This window comes from Homo sapiens, chromosome 16 (assembly GCF_000001405.40).
Source record: "Homo sapiens chromosome 16, GRCh38.p14 Primary Assembly".
NCBI lineage: Eukaryota > Metazoa > Chordata > Mammalia > Primates > Hominidae > Homo > Homo sapiens.
Genome location: NC_000016.10, coordinates 81,540,810 through 81,559,882, shown reverse-complemented (window position 1 = coordinate 81,559,882; position 19,073 = coordinate 81,540,810). Strand labels below are relative to the sequence as shown.

The following is a 19,073-nucleotide window of genomic DNA, read 5'->3' as shown; positions in this document are numbered from 1 at the left end:
AGCCACCACGCCCAGCCCCACAATGCCTTTCTCTGTATACCTCTTGAAAGACTTGCCTGAGGCTGTTTTATGGCTCATTTTTTTATAACTAGAAGGAGTATACCACAAAATAACAATAAAATGTACAGTAGAGCGAATGCACAAGCCAGTAACTTAGTTGTTTACCATCAAGTCTTATGCACTGTGCATACTGTAGGTGCTGTGCTTTTGCACGACTGGCAGTGCGAGAGGTTTACACCAGCACCACCACCAACACCTGAGCAATGCATTGCACTATGACATCTCTACAGCTATGGCATGAGTAGGTGACAGGAATTTTTCAGCTCCATTATGATCTTATGGGACCACCATCACACACCGACCACGTCACTATGCAGTGCATGGCTGTTATCTGTTTACATGTTTATCTTCTCTGTCCTTACCTGAACTTAGGAATATGAAAACAGATTTTAACTACTGTGGTCGTTGCTCTATCTCCTGCACCTAGAACAGCTCCAGAAACACAAGAGGCTTTCAATAAAGAGGCACAAAAGAATCATGAGGCTGGCCCAGCATGAAATAAGTGACCACTGATGCTGGTGTCATAATAAATGTTCACCTTCACCCCACTCTTGGGGGTCACTCTTACCCCAAGCCCACCTAGGCCATGTTCGGGGTCTGATATCAAACTGTCTGGTTTGCTCAGCCAGGCTTGGTGTTCCCTTTTAAATAAAAACAAAAAGCGCCACCCTCTTCTTCTGCCCAGCATGCCCGGCCTGTGGAGGCCAACAAGCTGGAAGCCGCACACAGAAGAAGGAAGTCCTGGTGGCTCTGGGCGGCAGGAGGGGCGCCCAGGCCTGGTTGCCAGGTAACCCCGATCATTCACAAACACGGGGTAATGCGGATCCCACAAGGAGAGGGCTGGGTGTTTACTCAGACATCTTATCTACTGGGCTCGCCTGCCAGTGTTTGCACCTTGCTTTCAAAGGACAAAGTACCTGGTGGCGGGGTTGGGGAGGTGACGCTGAAGGGAACAAAGTCAGGATGGCTGCAGGCGGGAGGAACAGTGGGCCTACTGTGCGCAGCCACTCTCAACACATTTTATGCCAAGCTCCTGGCATTGGGGACTGAAATGAGACAATCCAAGAAAAGCTTCCTGGGGTGCCAAGCAGCAAATACTCACAGCTGCCGCAGCTGTGTTCATTCCAAGATGTGCTCAGGACAACTTTCCCAGCAGCCTGCCTGGCTGGCCTGCCTCCTCCCCACGCCTCCTGTCTTTCCTTCTGCCCCTTGCTCACTCCAAGCCAGGCTGTCTCCACCTGGGCACTGTTGACATTTGGGGCTAGGTCATCTCTGCGGTGTCCTGTGTGTGGCAGGGCACTGAGCAGTATCCCTGGTCTCTACATGCTGTTAGTGGAAATGTAAAATGTGGCAGCCACTATGGAAAATAATCTGGCAGGTCCCCAAAAACTTAACCGGAGAAGAGCTGTATCATCCAGACGTTCCATTTCCAGGTACAGACCCAAAAGAATGGGAAGCTTGGTCTGTGTGTGATACCTGTAAACCTACGTTCACTGCAGCACTATCTGTAACGGCCGAGAGGCGGAAGCAGCCTCGTGTCTGCTGATGGAGGGATGGAGAAGCACGGCCTGCATTCACCGCAGCACTATCTCTAACGGCCGAGAGGTGGAAGCAACCTCGTGTCCTCTGATGGACGGACGGATGGAGAAGCATGGTGCAGCATACACAGACAATGGAATATTGCCATAAAAGAGAAAGAAATTCTGACACATGCTACAATATGAAAGAATCTTAAGAACATGACGCCTAGTGAAATAAGCCAACCACAAAGGATAAATATTGCGTGACTGCATTTACAAGAAGTACTTAGAGCAGTCAAATTCGTAGAGACAGAGCATAGAATGGTAGGTGTCAGGGGCTCGGGGAGGGGAATGGGGAGTTAGTGTTTAACAGGGACAGAGTCTCTGTCTGATAAGATGAAAAGAGTTCTGAAGATGGAGGGTAGTGATGGTTGCACAATGGGAATGTACTTAATGCCACCGAACTGTATGTTAAAAACACCTCCGATTTGGTGAATTTGATGTTATGTGTATTTCACCACAATTGTCTTGTTTTTTGAGACAGGTTCTTGATCTGTCAACCAGGCTGGAGTGGAGTAGCAACATCATAGCTCATTGTAGCCTTGAACTAGGCGATCCTCCCACCTTGGCCTCCTGAGTAGCGGGGACCACAGATGTGCACCACCATGCCTGGCTAATTAAAAACATTTTTTCTGTAGAAACGAGGTCTCACTGTGCTGCCTAGTCCTCCCATTTTTATTTATTTTTATTTTATTTTTGGATTTGTTAGCATGATTTAATCAATTATTCCACATTATAAACATATATTAAATTATCACATTATACTCCATAAATATGTAATACATACAACTATTGTTTGTCAATTAGAAAAAAAGAACGAAGAGGCTGCCAACAAGATGGTAAGTACACAGTAATAAGTGAATTCAACCAACATGAGTGAATTCAACCAACATCAGTAAATTCAACCAACATCAGTAAATTCAACCAACATCAGTAAATTCAACCAACACGAGTGAATTCAACCAACATGCATTTGGCATTGACATGGCCTTGGCCTTCATGGAGCTTCATGATCTCGTGGGGGAGGTGGCTTCTCATTTTTAAATTAAACTTTTCATTTGAAAGTACTTTTGGATTTACCGAAAAGCTGAAAAGACAGTAGAGAGGATTCTGGTAGCCCTCTCACCCAGCTTCCCTTGGTGTTGACACCTTTCAGACCATGGAACATTTTCGTCACAAGCAAGAAACCATCATTGGTCTCTGATGCTGAACTAACCCGGACACTTTGCGTGAACTTCACCAGTTTTTCCCAAGTGTCCTTTTCCCGTCCCTGGATCCCATCCAGGGCACCACATGACATTGAGTCATCGCGCCTCCTTGGCCTCCCTGGTCTGGGACAGTTTACGCTTTCCTCAGCCTTGAGGACCTGCACAGTTTTCAGGAGCGCCATTCAGGCACCGTACAGAATGTCCCTTAAACTGGGTGTCTCCTATGTGACACCTGCTTTTGTGTGTGTACACGTGATGTACAATTGTGTGTATAAGTGATGTCCAATTTAGCCATTTTAACCATTTAAGTGTACGGTTCAGTGGCATTTGGTCCATCCACACTGCTGTGCAACCATCGCCACTGTCGGCCTCCAGAGCTTTCTCATCTTCCCAAACTCAAACTCTGTCCCCATCGAACACCAACTCCCGGCTCCCCTTCCTTCTACCTGTGGTTACCAGGATTCCACCTTCTGTCTCTGGAGACACTGCCTCATGCCCATTAGGAGGGCCACTGATAAAACAACGGAAAATAGTAATCGTTGGCACATTGTGGAGAAATCACAACCTTCACGCATTGTTGGCGCGAATATAAAAGGGTGCAGCCAAGTTACTATGTGATCCATCAATTTTACTCCTAGCTATATATGCAGAAGAATTAAAAATAGGGACTTTTAAAAGGGACACCAGCGCACCCGTGTTCAGAGAAGCATTACTCTAAGTAGCCAAAAGGTGGAAGCAACCTAGTGCCCGCCGCCACCTCCTTCTGCAGCAGAAGGCATTCCCCCATAATAACCAGTCCAACATCTGCCTTCCACCCCACCCGGGCTAGAACAGGTTCCGTAACAGCAAAATGAGATGACGTGCAGCCAGGTAAGTGGACTGTTCTACTCCTGAGATCTCTGGCCTCAGTTCCCAGGACTCAGAAACTCTGAGAGAACAAATAGCTCACCGCTGGGTCTGCATTTTCCAGGGAAAAAATGGCTTCAGACAGAGAAGACGGTGATTCTGTTTGGCCAGGACTGGACTCAAATTCTAAGAAAAGTAACAGTCACAATGGAGCTCCTATTAATTGCACACTTCCTGTATACCAAGGTTTACCCCTAGCTCTCATGCTCACAGCTCTCCCAGGGGTGGGTATTATTATGGATCCATTTTAGAGATGAGGACACTGAGGTTCAGGGAGAAAAATCACTTGGCAGGAATCAGTCTCCCCCAACCAGGGCAGACCAGACACACTCCAATGGCAATAACCAGCCCGGAGGGGTTTCATCTATGCTGGAGATCTCCCCAGGCTTAGGTGGGGACGTTTCTCCTTCCTGATTTAGCTTTGGGGAGCACAGTATACCCTGGTGGGGACCCATGAAGATGGTGACTTCACAGACTTGGTCACATCACTGCCAGGCCGCCTAGGGAAATGGGGTCATCTCAGATCTCTCCGGGCCCCAAATGCCCAAATGGCAAGGCCCTCTTGGACAGGGAGCGGACAGTGTATGTGCTGAGCTGGGAATGAGGCCTTAGACCCTTTTGTTGTGCACACTGAGTCTGTGTGCATCCTGTAGGGTGTGTTACCTGGGCAGGTGTGCTTTCACTGTCCCCATTCCCTGCTGAGAGCATGAATTCTTCTGTCTGTTTTGCCCATGGGTCCGGATTCCTCTCTGGCTTTCTGCTGTGCCTGATGTCACTTGGGGACTCCCACAGTCTAGGGGGGGTTCTTGATTTCCCCAGAGCTATGGTGACCCACTCAGGGGAAAAGCAACTGGAGGTATCTATCTCAGCACCACACCATCACGTTTCCCCTCCCTGGATGAGGCCTGCTGCTTATTATAACAATGACAACATCGGAAATGCTGCTTGTGGATTTCTGCAAGAGAGGAGATGACAGGCTTTCTTTGCCCTCCTGCTCTTTGTTGGATTCTGCAGACCCGAGATGAGGCCTTGCGTGTGTGGGAAAGTTCCCTGTGGCTGGGAAGACTGATGGCACAGAGGAGGCACCAAGGTGACAGCTGGTGCCCCTCCCACTGTAGGGGTGTGTCGAGGCAGACTTACCAGGGACCAAGGAAAAACCCCCCCTTCTGGGGGGCATCCCTAGGAGCTTCCAGCCCAATGACACCTGCGGCCAGGGCTTCAATTTGCTGAAGATTAAAGTGAAAACAAATATATTTTAAAGTTGCCATCATCTCTTCAGGGCCTGTTAGTTCCTAGCAGACACGATGCTAAGCACTCTATGCTTTCGTTGGGTCCCACAGAGTCTTACCAGATATAACGATTATCTCCATTCTACAGACAAAGAACTGAGGCCCAGAGAAGAATAAAGTTGCCTGCCCAGGGTCACACAGCCAGAGAAGTGGCTGCAGGAAAAAAGGCACCTGCTGACAGCGGTGAATGAAGAAAATGAGAAAGTGAAAGGACAGCTCTGAGCCAGAAAGTAGAAATCTGGAGGTAAACATGAATTCGATTATACACCCATATTTGCCAGTCTGGGATTCTGCAAACTTCTCAAGCACCTGGTAGTGGCCTCCTGGAGGTGTGTTGTGAACGGTTCTGCAGCTGCCTCTGGGCTCAACAGGAAAGAGTGGTGATTGATTATTGATGTCTGCCAGGGCACACAGTTCTGAGAAGTAGCAGAACGGATGCTACAGGAATCTCCTGCCCAACTCTCTGAAGCAGGATATTTCTCTGAATCTTTCTGCTCCTTAGCTTCTCCTTGCATTAAATGAGCTCAGATAGAGAATAACAGGTTAAAGTGCCTTTTGAAGAGGAGAGCATTTTCTCTGAATGCTAATTGCACATCTGGCATTTGTTAATTCAGAGATAAAACTCAGTTCTCATGGAAAGGTAGACTCCCCTCAACATACATTTATCAGGCACTGATTGTATTATTGGGTATCCGCCCTCAATGAGTTTGGCAAGGAAGACAATTAACTTAATGATTATTTAATAATTATTGTTGTTCTAAATGCCTTAAATGGAAAGTACAGAGGGCCAAGTCCCGCCCACCACAGGGCAGCCTCGCCTTCCTGTTGAGTATTTGATTCTGATGTGGAAAATTACTTTTCTGTTCACAGCCCACTGGAAACGCTTGCATGGTGGCTCCAGTGCCTAGGAGGGTGTTAGACCACCAAAGAATGTGGACACGTAATATAAAAGGGCCAGGGGGGCCACGTGTCTGCACACAAAGCTGAAGGTGGTCCCTCCACCAGCAATTTGTCTATCTTTGCTAATTAGAAGCTCATGCCTCCTTCTTTGCTTTTTCCTGCCCCACAGAGGAATCTTGGCCATGCTGCCTATAGCTTTTGGCAAGGGGCGAGGGCACGGGAAAGAGAAAACACAAATGGCATCTGGCAGGGCCAAGAGAGGTGCGTGTGAAGCTGGCGGAGCACGCCCAGCCTTCCTCTCCAGGCTGTGTTTAGAGGTCTCTCTCTCTCCCCTTGGCCTGAGCACCCTCCCCACTGCCGGGTGAAAGGAGCCACAGGGCGTCACAGTTGCCTCCCCTGTTCGAAGCTGGCGCCGGGACAGGCAGTGGGCTCTGTTTGGAATATATGCTCTTCATCAGACGACTCTGAAACAATCACCCTTTCTGGCCCGAGAGGAGGAAGGCACCTCTGAGGCCAGCGCTTCCCCCAGTGCAAACAGCGACCCAGCCTGCCCAGTCCTGCTTTCAACTTTGTTGCTTTTGCAAATACGGTCCTGGGTCCTATTTCCCACATCCCTGCAGCCAGGTCCCGCCTGCCTCCTGGGGGCATGGCCTGCTCCAGTGCCCAGGCCAGGACGCAGGAAGCCAGCCCCTTCATCTTCCAGAAAAGCAGTGGGCGGGAATGGGGATGAGCAATCTGCGAAACGGAGCAGGCCACAGTCAGGGTGGAAGAAAACGAGGGAAGACTGAGAAACAGTGGGACTGAAACAAGCAGAGACTCAGGCCCTGGGTGCTGGGACCCACGTGGCTAAGCAACTGGTCTTCACAACATTTATCCCCACCTCACCTCCCTAACTCCTCCTCAATCCCCAGACAGCAGCTGACAAGTCACGTCTTTAGAGGAGACTTTCCTGTCCCCCAGGGAGGGGACTCCCAAACCCCCTGCACTGGAAGTCTCTGCTGAAGGTCAGTCTTCCCCTTGGAAAGGACTGGCAGCTCCATGAGGACAGGGCCCTCATTCCTCTTGTGCACTCTGTCCCCAGCCACAGCAATGAAGGAACAAAGCCAGAGAAAGAGAGAGGGAGGGAGGAAGGCAGGTAGCCTGGCTTCTCCCACTAAGGATGGCCCCTGGTGGTAGGCACAAGAGCAGCTCCAAAGATGTCTATGTCTTCGCCCTGATCCCCAGAACCTGGGAATGTGCCATCTGACATGGCAGAAGAGACGTTGCAGATGTGGTTCCATTAAGGACCTTGAGATGGGAGATTCTCCCAGATTGTCGAGTTGGTCCCAATGAAAGAGGAAGGCAAAGGGTCAGAGAGAGGCTGGGAGATGGTACACAGGTGGCTCTGAAGATGGAGGAAGGGGCCAAGAAGCCAAGGAATGCAGGTGGCCTCTAGAAGCTGAAAAAGGCATGGGAAGAGATTCTGTCCCCTAGAACCTCTGGAGAAAACATCCTAACATAGCCCACCTAACATAGCCCAGGGGGATCTGTTTTGGATTTCTGACCTCCAGGACTGTAAGATGATTGATCTGTGTGGTTTTCAGCCACTGGGTTTGAAGGAACATGTCACAGAGGCCACAGGAAAAGAACATCCCCACTACACACAGGATACCCTCGGGAACCACCAGCCAGCCCTTATCAGCCCAAGTGAGCCGACGTCAGAGACAGGCAGACAACTACCAATGAGCACAGAGTTCTGGCTTCCTTCCACTGCCACGTATGGGGAGGATTCCAACTCCCTGCCCCCTTGCAGCCAGGCCACCGCTACACAACTGGGCCTGGACAGTCAGATGTCAGAGGATGTCACACAAGTCCCTCCTAAAGCCAAAGGATGCAGCTGCCAGCGCTGGGCTCCCCAGTCCTCCCTGCCCCTGCCGCCGAGGCTGCAGAGTCACCAGGTGGAAGGACCCCACCAGCCAGGGCCCCCCTGCACACTGCCGGTGGGGAACAGCGTCCATGGTGACTGAGCAAGAACAAAGTTGTTTCAAGTCCCTGGACCGGGGAGTCTTTGTCACAGCAGCAGAGCCTCACCCATCTGAGGATGCATGGGGAACTGTCTATGGGAGCAGGAGCTGTCACCCACATGCATCCAGGGGAACTGTCCACAACAGGGGCCTCAGCCACCTCTGGAAGCAGAGGCCACCTTGGACACAGACCCCTATGATGTCCCCAGGGCCCTGTGACAATTTCCACCTTGGATGGGGGAAGTTTGCCTTAGTCACCAAATGACTGTGAGATGAAATCACTTCTTCCAGACAGTGTGGAGAGAAAACGGAAGACAGAGCAGGTTCCCACAGCTCCCACATACTGCACACGGCCCCAGTGTGTCTTTGAGGCACACACTGCAGCCACCTACAGCCACACACTGACATGGCTGGCCCGACGTGGTCCTCTGTGCTTCCTTCCTCAGGACCCCAAATGTTTTTTCATTTTTCTGCTTCTCAGCCAGGTCCCATGTGCCATGTCTGTGGCTGGGATTCCAGGAAGCCAATGGATATTTTCAGCTTTATTGTCCCATTTGTCACTTGCTAATTAGCTAGAAGTGACTAATCAGAAAACAGTTGGGAGGCAGAGGAAATCCCCCCATTTTCCTGGCTTTTGGTTGCCCATGGTTACTCAGAACCCTCTGGGTGTGTGTGATGGAACTGGGGTGTGTGATGAAACTGGGGTGTGTGTGATGGAACTGGGGTGCGTGTGATGGAACTGGGGTACGTGTGATAGAACTGGGACATATGTGATGGAACTGGGGTGTGTGTGATGGAACTGGGGTGCGTGTGATGGAACTGGGATATATGTGATGGAACTGGGGTGCGTGTGACGGGACTGGGGTGCGTGTGACGGGACTGGGGTGCGTGTGACGGGACTGGGGTGCGTGTGATGAACTGGGGTGCGTGTGACGGGACTGGGGTGCGTGTGACGGGACTGGGGTGCGTGTGACGGGACTGGGGTGTGTGTGACGGAACTGGGATATATGTGACGGAACTGGGGTGCATGTGACGGAACTGGGGTGTGTGTGATGGAACTGGGGTGTGTGTGATGGAACTGGGGTGTGTGTGATGGAACTGGGGAGGGCACAGAATGGGGTTAGGACTTTCTTCATCCTCTCCTGGGTGTAAGGAGAATCTATGTGCTGTAACCAGGCATCACTTCAGAATGACAGTGCTGTGGTCACCAGTGGGCAAAAGCCAAGGTCACCAAAGCCCCTGACTTCAGCCTTCTAGTAGTTTCTAATTGATCAGGTAGATTCCAGAAGCACAAACAGCTCCACTGGGTCCTCCTGGTCTATCCTAGCAATAGCAGCCATGTGACCCCAGGCCACACCTAGAGCACAGAGGGTGGAAGCCACATAGACATTCTTTGACGGGATAAGACCTGTCAACACCATCCTGCCCAGTGCTGCCAAGGTTTCCCAGCCAAGAGTGGGAGGGGGGCATGAGCAGAAAGAAGCAACTAAAGCCCTGCGACCCTCCTGCACCTCCATGGACAGGGCCAGACCTTCCCAAAGCTGGGAGGGCATGCCATCACTGACTGCCACCTAAGGCAGGCCCCAGCCACACACACACCTATGACCCATGACCTTCAATGCCACTCCACACCAGTGCTGTTCCTTATTCTCCCATTTCACGGATGAGAAGACTGAGGCTCAGAGAGCTTGCATGACCAGCCTCAGATCATGCAATGAGTAACTGGCAAAGCTGGGTATTAAATTCAGGTCTCTCTGTATCCACTGTGGAACAGTAAGGAAAGAAGGAGTGCTACCGAGGGCATGGGCAGGGTGCTCAGTGTGTACTGCCTTCGTCCTACAGCCATAGGGGTGGGGTGAAATCACATCACATAGGCACACGCACAATAATTCTGACACACATGTAGATGTGCACACATTTGCCCACGCACACGGGTGAGCGCATTTAAATATGCACATGGGCACTTGGACGGCACAGGCTTGTGTGCACATACACACACACACAAATGCACAAGCATGTACACACAGCACACTGCACACACACATTCAAATACACATGTACAAACATACACACTGGCATATGCACGCGCGCATGCACACACACATTTGCCTGGTTTCTCCACATGGGAAGAGAACGCGCAGTTGCCTTCAGAGGAACCAGCCAGCACCCTGTGCCCTGCTGGGGCACCCAGGCCCTGCTCTGGGCTCGGTCTGCCCAGCTTACCAGGTCTAGCAAAGGCCAGTCCTTGCTGCCTGTGTCCTTTAGGGGCGATTTCATCATGAATGGTACAATTTCCAAAGACAAATAAATAAAGAGGAGGTCTCAGCCCCGCCTCTCAGGACCACTGGCATTTCACTCAGGGCCGCTTCTTCAATATCCTCCGCCCCCCGCCCCCAACACACACAGAGCCCAGCCATGAAAATCCCCTACATGGGACAGTTTCCTGGGGCACGTACAGCACTCCAGGGCTAGCAAGGAAAAGTGGCAGCTATCTGCCCAAGGAGAATTTCCCAACGGCCCTCGGCTGCTGGCTCCTGACCTCATGGGTGACAAAGTCCAATGAAGAAACAGCAGATGTGAAACCAACGGCCCCCCATTTGCAAGCCCGGCATTTTCCAGGGTAAGGTTCTATCGAATGATTTACCAGCTCAACCAGGTTAATCATTGCCTAAGAAATACAAATGGCTCCATCAACCCTCAGGCTGGTCACCCAGGTGCTCCTGCAGGTTGACCGGCTCCCTCCTCATCCTGCAACCTGCACTTAGGGTCTGGTTTGTTGACTGAATAAGCCAGTGACAAATCATCAGAAAAGCCCCTTTCCCTGACTACCTACTACACATCTGGCTTTGGGCCACGCCCTTTCCACCTAAGCCTGCAGTAAAATAGATCCAGGAACTGAGTACAGGCCCATGCAGACAGACCTGGGTTCAAACCTCAGCACCAATGGTCCAGCTGTGGTGCCAAGTCAATCCTCGTGTGTGAAATGGGTTGCTATGAGAATGAAGGAGTCAATGTGTAAAGCAGTGGTTCCCAACGGGGGGCATTTGGCAATGTCCAGACACAGCTTCCTTTTTCCTTTTTGTTTTTTTCAGAGACAGAATCTTGCTCTGTCACCCAGGCTGGAGTGCAGCAGCATGATCGTAGCTCACTGCAGCCTTGAACTCATGGCCTCAAGCAATCCTCCTGCCTCAGCCTCCCACGTAGCTAAGACTACAGGCACACACCACCATGCCTGGCTTTTTTTTTTCTTTTTTTTTTTGTAGAGGCATGGTCTCCCTATGTTGCTGAGGCTGGTCTCCAACTCCTAGCTTCAAGTGATCCTCCCACCTCAGCCTCCCAAGGAACTGGAATTACAGGTGCATGCCACCACACGTGGCCTGGAGACATTTTTGGTTGTCACAACTGGGGTGGAAGGGTGCTGTGGGCATCTAGTGAGTGGAGGCCAGGGATGGTGCCAAATGTCCTACCATGCCCAGGACAGTGCCCGCAATAAAGACTGATCCAGCTGGCTGGTGCCTCACACTGTAATCCCAGCACTTTGGGAGGCAGGTGAGACAAGAGGACCGCTTCAGCTCAGGAGTTCGAGAACAGCCTGAACAACAAAACGAGACCCCATCTCTACAAAAACTTTAAAAATTAGCCAGGAGTGGTGGCCTGTGCCTGTAGTCCTAGCTACTTAGGAGGCTGAGGGAGGAGAATCGCTTGAGCCCAGGAAGTCGAGGCTGCAGTGCGCCATGATTGTACCACTGCACTCTAGCCTGAGGGACAGAGGGAGACCCTGTCTCAAAAAAAAAAAAAAAAAAAAAGTGATCCATCCTTAGATGTCAGTAGAGCTGAGGCTGAAAAATCATGATGTATATACTACAATGCTTGGGTCAAGGTAAGCCCTAGATAAATGCCAGCCGCTGTAATGATCTGGAAATTGTTCCAACAGCTTTACAGCATGACATGATTGCCGGCGTGCTGCAGAGGAGGCTGGGATCAGAGGCTGCGAGTTGCTCGGGTGACAGGAAGAGCAGAGCTGAAGAGGCCTGCCTGGCTCCCTGGGCATTCCTTTGTTGCCACAGCACCTGGCCCTGGGGCACAAGCTGGTCCCAGGCCAAGGGTCCCAGTGTCCAATTTCGGTGTCTGCCAAATTCCCCCTCACTGCCCCACAACTGTGAGCCAGCCTCTCCAATTCTTCTTCATCTTGCACTTCCCCAAAGGGAAGAGGGGCCATTTCCTGAAGTGTTTTCTTGGGTACACTGAACTAACGGACACTCAATCTGGACCCTGCAGGCTTCTGAGGAGATCCCTTCCTTCCTCCTCCTCCTCCTCCTCCTCCCCCGCTTCCCACCCTCCACCTGCAAACCCTCGCTTTTGCCTGAAACGGTAAGTTTGTCTCCAAGGCCCAGCTACCCCTCTGAGCAAGGTGTCCAGCCCTGACCCCGCAAACCAGGCCCTCCTCTGAACTGGTTGTCACTGGCTTTGGGACCCTCTGCTCAGCGTGCCCACAGCAAGAGATGGCCTGCAAAGACCCTCTATCTGACTGGAAGGGCCAGCAGGGAGCCTGGAGCGGGGGTCTTTCTGCAGAGATGGCAGAGCATCTGCAGGAGCTGGTCTGTGTCCCCCTCCAGAGTCACCCTCGCTGCACACACCCCATGCCCTCGGCCACATAAACATGACATGGTCTACGACCCAGCCGCGCTGAACCCCTTCCGTCTCTCTTTCTGGAGGCCAGGCCTTGACATATGTGCTTCCCTCTACCAGATATGCTATCCCTCTCCTCCTCTGCCCCAGATCCTCCTCACTTGACTTAAACACCATTGAAACCTCCCTGCCTCCGGGAGCCCAGGCATGGCTCGGCCATCCCACATCTGTGTGCCCACATCCCAGCCCAGACTGCCCTGTACTGTCACAGAATATGTGCCGGTCTTTAATACCGCAAGGCTGTGCACTCCCGGGGGAGTGGCCTTTGCAGCCCAGCACCATCCAGGGAGCTCTCGCGATGCAGGGAATGTTCTACATCGGCACTCTCCAGTACAAGAGCTGTTCGCCACGCGTGGCTACGGAGCACTGAAGTGTGGCTACGTGCCTCACAAGCTGAATTTTTACTTTGGTCTAATTTTAATTCAATGTAAATAGCCATACATGGCAGCGGCTACTCTTCCAGCCAGCACAGGTCTAGAGGGATGTCTAGCTCCCATCCAGTGCTCCACACCCCCTGAACAAGAGAATGAATGAATGATGAGTGAACAGCACTTGGTTCTCACCCTCCTTTCTCACCCCGCACGATAATCATCTGACTTCAATTTTCTCCACGAGGCCGCAGCTACCTGCAGGCAGGAGACACACAACTGTGTTCGCTCATTGCTGTAACCTGTGCTTTCTTCGGTTCCTGGGACACAGACCCTCAGTAACTATTAGTTAGATGAATTAATGGGTGAATGAATGAACCGCCTGCAACTGAGAGCCTCTTCTCCTTCCCCACCAAGCCTCAGGAAAACTGTCATGAAAAGGAAAACTCCCTCTGGGTGGATTTCTGAGTGCACCTCCAGCCCAGTTCATCCTCTTGCTAAAGGGACCGCCGCCCTACATGCTGGCTCTGTCCTGCCTGGCATTGAGAGGGAGCTTCTGCCGCCGGCGAACAAGGCATCCTTCTCCATGCCTTCTTCCTGCTCTCCCAGGACACCATGGGAGAAGTAGGGCAAGTCTGTCTTCTCTTGACTCAGAGAGAAGGATCGGGATTCCTCATTTCCCTGGGCTGCCATTCCCTGCCTCCTGGCCCCAGCAGCAGGATGCCCCCACGAGGTTTCAGGAGACACGATAACTCGTAAGAACCAGGGTGAATTTGAGAGTCTATTATAAATCAAATGCCTTTCATCCTCGACTGCTGGCTGTGATGTTCTCCAACACTGCTATTCACAGCGAGCGCCATTTGCGTTTTCCCCACCCACCGCCCCGTCCCACTTCCTTCTGATGTAGGTCACGGTGGATTCTCCCTGAGTTCACTAGATCTACCTGCAGTGAGGGGGTGACACCGCTTGAAGCAAATTTAGCAATTCTCTTACAGGCATGTGGGAATCCCGTGCTCGCTCATTCAGCCGAGACCCAGACTTGTACTGTGTGTGGAAAATCCTGTGCAAAGACCCTGGGGCCCACGGGAGGGCCGGCAGGAAGGCTTCTATGCCCAGGTAAGCTGGGCGTTTGGAGCTTGAAAACCACCATCATTTGGAAACAATGCTGAGGAGGGTTCGGATTCTAGAACAGAAGCAGATCAGTCAAGTAGTAACTTGCCCTAGTTTTACCGTGAGCATCGCAGGTCCGCCCCGTGCTGTGTGGTCTGGACCAAGTCACTTCTCTCCAGCCTCATGCTTCCATCTGTAGATGGAGGAGGATGCTGGAGCTCGCCACATAAGCTGTGTGGATTAAATGCCATTCATAGAGCACTGAGCACAGGGACTCTTCACACAGGAGACGCTCAGTAAACGTTATTACTGATGTTGTCACTGTTGTGTGCACGGTCCCTTTTAGCTACACAATATAAGCATCATCTTAGTACAGAACCTAAGCTTCTGCTCCTTCACTGCGAGAAGCATCAAGCACCCACCCTCTTCCAGGCACCATGCTAGGCGCTGGTGATACAAGGACGGGTTCGTCTGCAGGACTTCTCTAGAAGCGCAGCAAATCCTGAGATAACGAATGCATTAAATCAAACACCACAGTACCTGTGGTCAGCCTGTCTCAAAGGATGGAAGAAGCTAAGGCACCCTGCAGGGAGGAGGGCAGGCCTGGGAGAGTTTCGCACCAGTATGAGCTGAGCAGGGAAAGCGGAAAGGGGAACCCTGGCTGTGGGCCTGGCATCTTCTAGGAGTCTAGGAGTTTACAAGATCATGGGCTCTTTTGGGCAACAGCAAAAGGTCGTTTGTGGCTGGAGCACAGGGTGTCTGGTAAGGAACTGGCAGGAGATGAAAATGAAAAGATTGAGTCTGGCCCCAATTTGGCAGCCTTCTCTGCCAAAAAAATGAGGGGTTGAACTTTGTCCTGTGGACAACAGAAGGGTTTTAAGTACCACTCATAAAGTTACTCAACCCCAGAAACCGGAAGCAGAGCCCTCCATGCACGCACACACATGGCATACACACATCTCACACATACACCCTCTCCACACACACGTGCACACACGCAACACTCCACACATACACAAATACACGCACACACACACATGCACATATACACACAACATTCCACAAACATATACACACATACAAATACCCATACACCACACATATTCAAACATACACACACACACACAGGCACACACACATGCACACATGCACCCCTGTGGTGGTCCTGGCACCCTGCACTGGACCCAGAGCAGAAATAGAAGTCCTTAGGCTCCAAGATATAGCAATAAGGAGGTGGCCTGAGAGCCACACAGAGGCCGGGAAGGTCAGCGGCAGGCTGTTTGGAGAAGGAAATATTTAAAAACAAGAGGTTTCCTGTGTGCGCGCACACACACACACACACTTACCCCCTGAGGATGAGACAGAGTCCTATCAGTAATTCTTTCAAAATAATGCCCTCACGTGTTCACGCCACACACATAGCACCAAAGAGACTTTGCAATTAAAAAATTGAGTATTTTTCACTTGCATGACCCTCCAGCCTCGGTCTCATTTGAGAGCTGAAGCCACCCCTCTGCCCAGCACCCACATTGAAAAGGGATGCGTGCACATGACTTGAGTCTGTCTCCGTGAGTTCACACTCACTGTGCACTAGGTGCATGTGGAACCCCACAAATGATGGATAATTGGGGCGGGGGGACCCCTGCGTGTCCAGCGTTTGCCCTTCCTTCTCTCTCTCCTTTCCCCTCTTCTGGGCTGATGAACTGTTTTCTAATGGGAATGGGTACCCCAAGGAGGCTCACAATGGAGATTTCTCATGCCAGGTGGATGCAATAAAAATGTGCTAAAGCTCCTTAAAATAGCTGTGTTCTCCCAAGTAAGATAAACCTTTTCCCGATAATACGATTCAGACCTGCAATTAGCTCAGTAAACCCTCTTCTTTAGACAGAAAGTAGAAGGTGAAATGGAAGGCATTTCAGGGGTCATAGCTGGACTAGTGGAAGTTGATTTTTTAAACAATGACTCAAACTTAGTTATCTCCTTGGAAGGAAAGACTGCCTGAGCCAAATAAAAATTTCTCTTTGTTTCAGAAAATTAAATCCCCATCCTTTGTTAGGCCTGATATAGAAGCCAGGCACTGTTCTAAGATAGTAGCTTGTTTTATCCTCACCTTAGCTCTAGGTGGGGAAACTGAGGAACGGGGGGAAGTGACTAGCCCATGGTCATAGATAAAAGCCAGGAATTGAACACAGGCTGTCTGGCTCCAAGGGTCAGATCTTACCCCCACGACCCTGACCCCCCTTCCTTTCAGCGCCCTCAGTCCTGCTGCTCTGCTGGAAAAGGGAGGTCACAGGCTGGCCCAGGACGCAGCAGGGAGCCCTGGGCGGCCCTGAACTTCAATGTGGGGACACTAGCCAACGCAACGCCTTGGCAATAAGCAGCCAGCTACAGGGGTGGGTATGATTGTTTCTGAATGTTCTCACGGGACCAACAAAGAGCGCTCTCCGGCTGCCGTGTAGCACTGGACATGATTAGGGAAGGGAGGAGAGGGTGTCTTCCAGCCAGGAAGCTGGCCCACAGGTGTCACTTTGCCATCTCAGAACCACACAGTCTTCAGATTCCCAAAGTCAGACCCAGCCCACCTCTCAGATGCGCTCACCTGGAGCGAAGCAACTTCAAGGCCACACAGCAAGCCATCAGCAGAAAAGCAGTGACACACAGTGCCACCAGCCAGGCCTGGGCCCTTGCCACCTCATGGGCTCCAGCGGGCAGGGCTCAGACCAGCACCCCGTGGAACGGACTGGCTCCCAAGCGGCCTCTCGCTAGGCCTGGGGCAGAATTCACAATCCCCCAGAGAGTGAAGCCACAAGTCAAGCTACATACTGCTGCAATGTAAACCGTTCCTTCTCTCTGTTCTTCCGTGCTAGGGACGGTGCTATGGATTGTATGTTTGTGCCTCCCGGAAATTCCTCTGTTGAACCCCCGACCCTGCAATGTGATGGTATGTGGAGGTGGGGCCTTTGGGAGGTGATTAGGGTTTGAGGAGGTCATGAAGTTGGGGCCCCCATGACAGGATAAATGTCCTCATAAGAAGAGAGGCCAGAGTGCTCTCTTTCTCTACCATGTGAGGACACAGTGAGAAGGTGGCTGTCTGCAAGCCAGGAAGAGGGCCCTCACCCAAACCCAGCCAGGCCAGCACCTTGACCTGGAACTCTGAAACAATAAATGCCTGTGGTTTAAGCCACCCAGTCTATGGTGTTTTGTTATGGCAGCCCAATCTAACACAGATGGAGAATACGACCCTCAGATGAAGGTCCAGAAAAACACACTCCTGCAGACCCTATTCCCAGATGCAGGCCAGTTTCACCTGCCTCTCAAGATCACGCACGCCATGCTACCAATCTCCCAACCTACGCCATGCTACAAATCTCCCACCCTCGGTGCCTCACAGAGCATACAACTGGGACTCAAGAAATGCCTGCGTGACAAACAGATCTAAGCACTGGTGGGGTGTCCGAGCATTTAATAGTTGGCCCCCATTTTAATTCTCATTCACAGGTAAAAGACTTGGCTCCCATTTTCACAGAGCTCCCCGCCTAGGAGTCTTCAACTTCAAAATCAACCAACTCCTGCTGCTTTTAAAATTTGGAATGCCACACCCAGCAAGTCTGCCTCTCAGCATCTACTGAGAGTCCCAGGTAAGACAGCTTGTTCCTGGGCTGTGTTTAAGAGTGAAAAGCGAGAAAGGGCCTTCACATCCATCGACCCAGGGTGGGGCACGACCATTTTATGGAATGTGATGTGGCAGCTGAACAGAATAAGGTCAGTCTTTGGTTATTAGAACCAGTGACTGAGTGGTGAACCCAAAGGAGTCCATTAAAGGAGAAAATTAAAACATGAAATAGACATTTCGTTTTTGCTAAAAGTATGTAAAGGTGTATATGTTCTCCATCTTTTGTAGTAGAGATGAGGCTTTCCCTTTGCAGACGGCCTCTGGGTCGTTTTCACATAAACGCATGCCTGATGCCTGATTGACAAGCTGCAGCTTCTGTTTCTCTGAAGACCCCCTCAAGGCTGTCTGATCATTACAGCTTTTTCCTGTTCTTTTACAGTTCTCTCACCCACAACATCGGTTGTTTTGTAGGGACACTCCACTCCACTGAGACTTTCTTAAGCATTCCATTCAGCTTTCATAAAGACAGCCGTTCTCTCTTCACGCTCATATTTCATAAGTTTATGTAATCTTCAAATAAACTGTGTAAATCCAGTAACACCTCTCACCAGCGTAACCAGGTTTGGTAAACAAACAGCTCAACTCATGGAAGAAGCGTGTGAGGGTCCCAAGAGCATCCTACCAGCCTGGGGCACCGATCAGGGGCTGGAGTGGTTAGACTGGCTGGGCCTATGAAATCACAGCCCTCTGCCACTGAAAGTTACAGGTTACACGGCTCCACCGTGCACATCTCCAAAACACATCTCCAAAAAGACTCACTGAGTGAAGAAGTAAACTGCAGAAAGATCTATATGACAGGATTCCTTTTATGTTTAAATAAAGAAACTCACATAAAATTATACCATATACTTTCTATAGAACCATCTGTTTGAATGTAAATATAAAGGAAAAAACCCTAGAAGGATGGGATATGGGGTAGGAACAGGGTCGGGGGTGGAGGAAGGGGAACTTCAGACTTTTCTGTTAAGGCACTGCTTTTCACAAGAATAATATACTTATATATATAGTACATAATTGAATTGTGTTTATTTAGTCATCAAGACTTAACAGAGGGGTTCAGCACCCAAAACAAATAAGCCCACGGACTGATAAGTATGCAACTTAAAAAAAAAAAAAAGGCCGGGTGCAGTGGCTCACACCTGTAATCCCAGCACTTTGGGAAGCAGACGTGGGTGGATCATGAGGTCAGGAGATCAAGACCATCCTGGCTAACACGGTGAAACCCTGTCTCTACTAAAAATACAAAAAATTAGCCAGGCGTGGTGGCACAAGCCTGAAGTCCCAGCT

The 19,073-nt window shown here is 50.8% G+C and overlaps 1 protein-coding gene across 5 annotated transcripts in view, besides 2 other annotated features; it reads right to left on the bottom strand.

Annotated features, from left to right (window-relative positions):
• Nucleotides 1-19,073, bottom strand: part of CMIP (c-Maf inducing protein) — a 266,955-nt gene that overhangs the window by 151,880 nt on the left and 96,002 nt on the right. The window lies entirely within an intron of this gene.
• Nucleotides 745-1,039: a silencer, noted in NCBI's record as "tiled region #2593; HepG2 Repressive DNase matched - State 5:Enh, and K562 Repressive non-DNase unmatched - State 14:Gen5'". NCBI's record gives its function as "represses a minimal TATA promoter and a strong SV40 promoter by Sharpr-MPRA in HepG2 and K562 cells {active_cell/tissue: HepG2 | K562}" and the evidence as "EXISTENCE:reporter gene assay evidence [ECO:0000049][PMID:27701403]".
• Nucleotides 6,504-7,110: an enhancer, noted in NCBI's record as "H3K27ac-H3K4me1 hESC enhancer chr16:81586378-81586984 (GRCh37/hg19 assembly coordinates)". NCBI's record gives its function as "activates a minimal SCP1, AML or CMV promoter by ChIP-STARR-seq in naive H9 embryonic stem cells {active_cell/tissue: H9 hESC(naive)}" and the evidence as "EXISTENCE:reporter gene assay evidence [ECO:0000049][PMID:30033119]".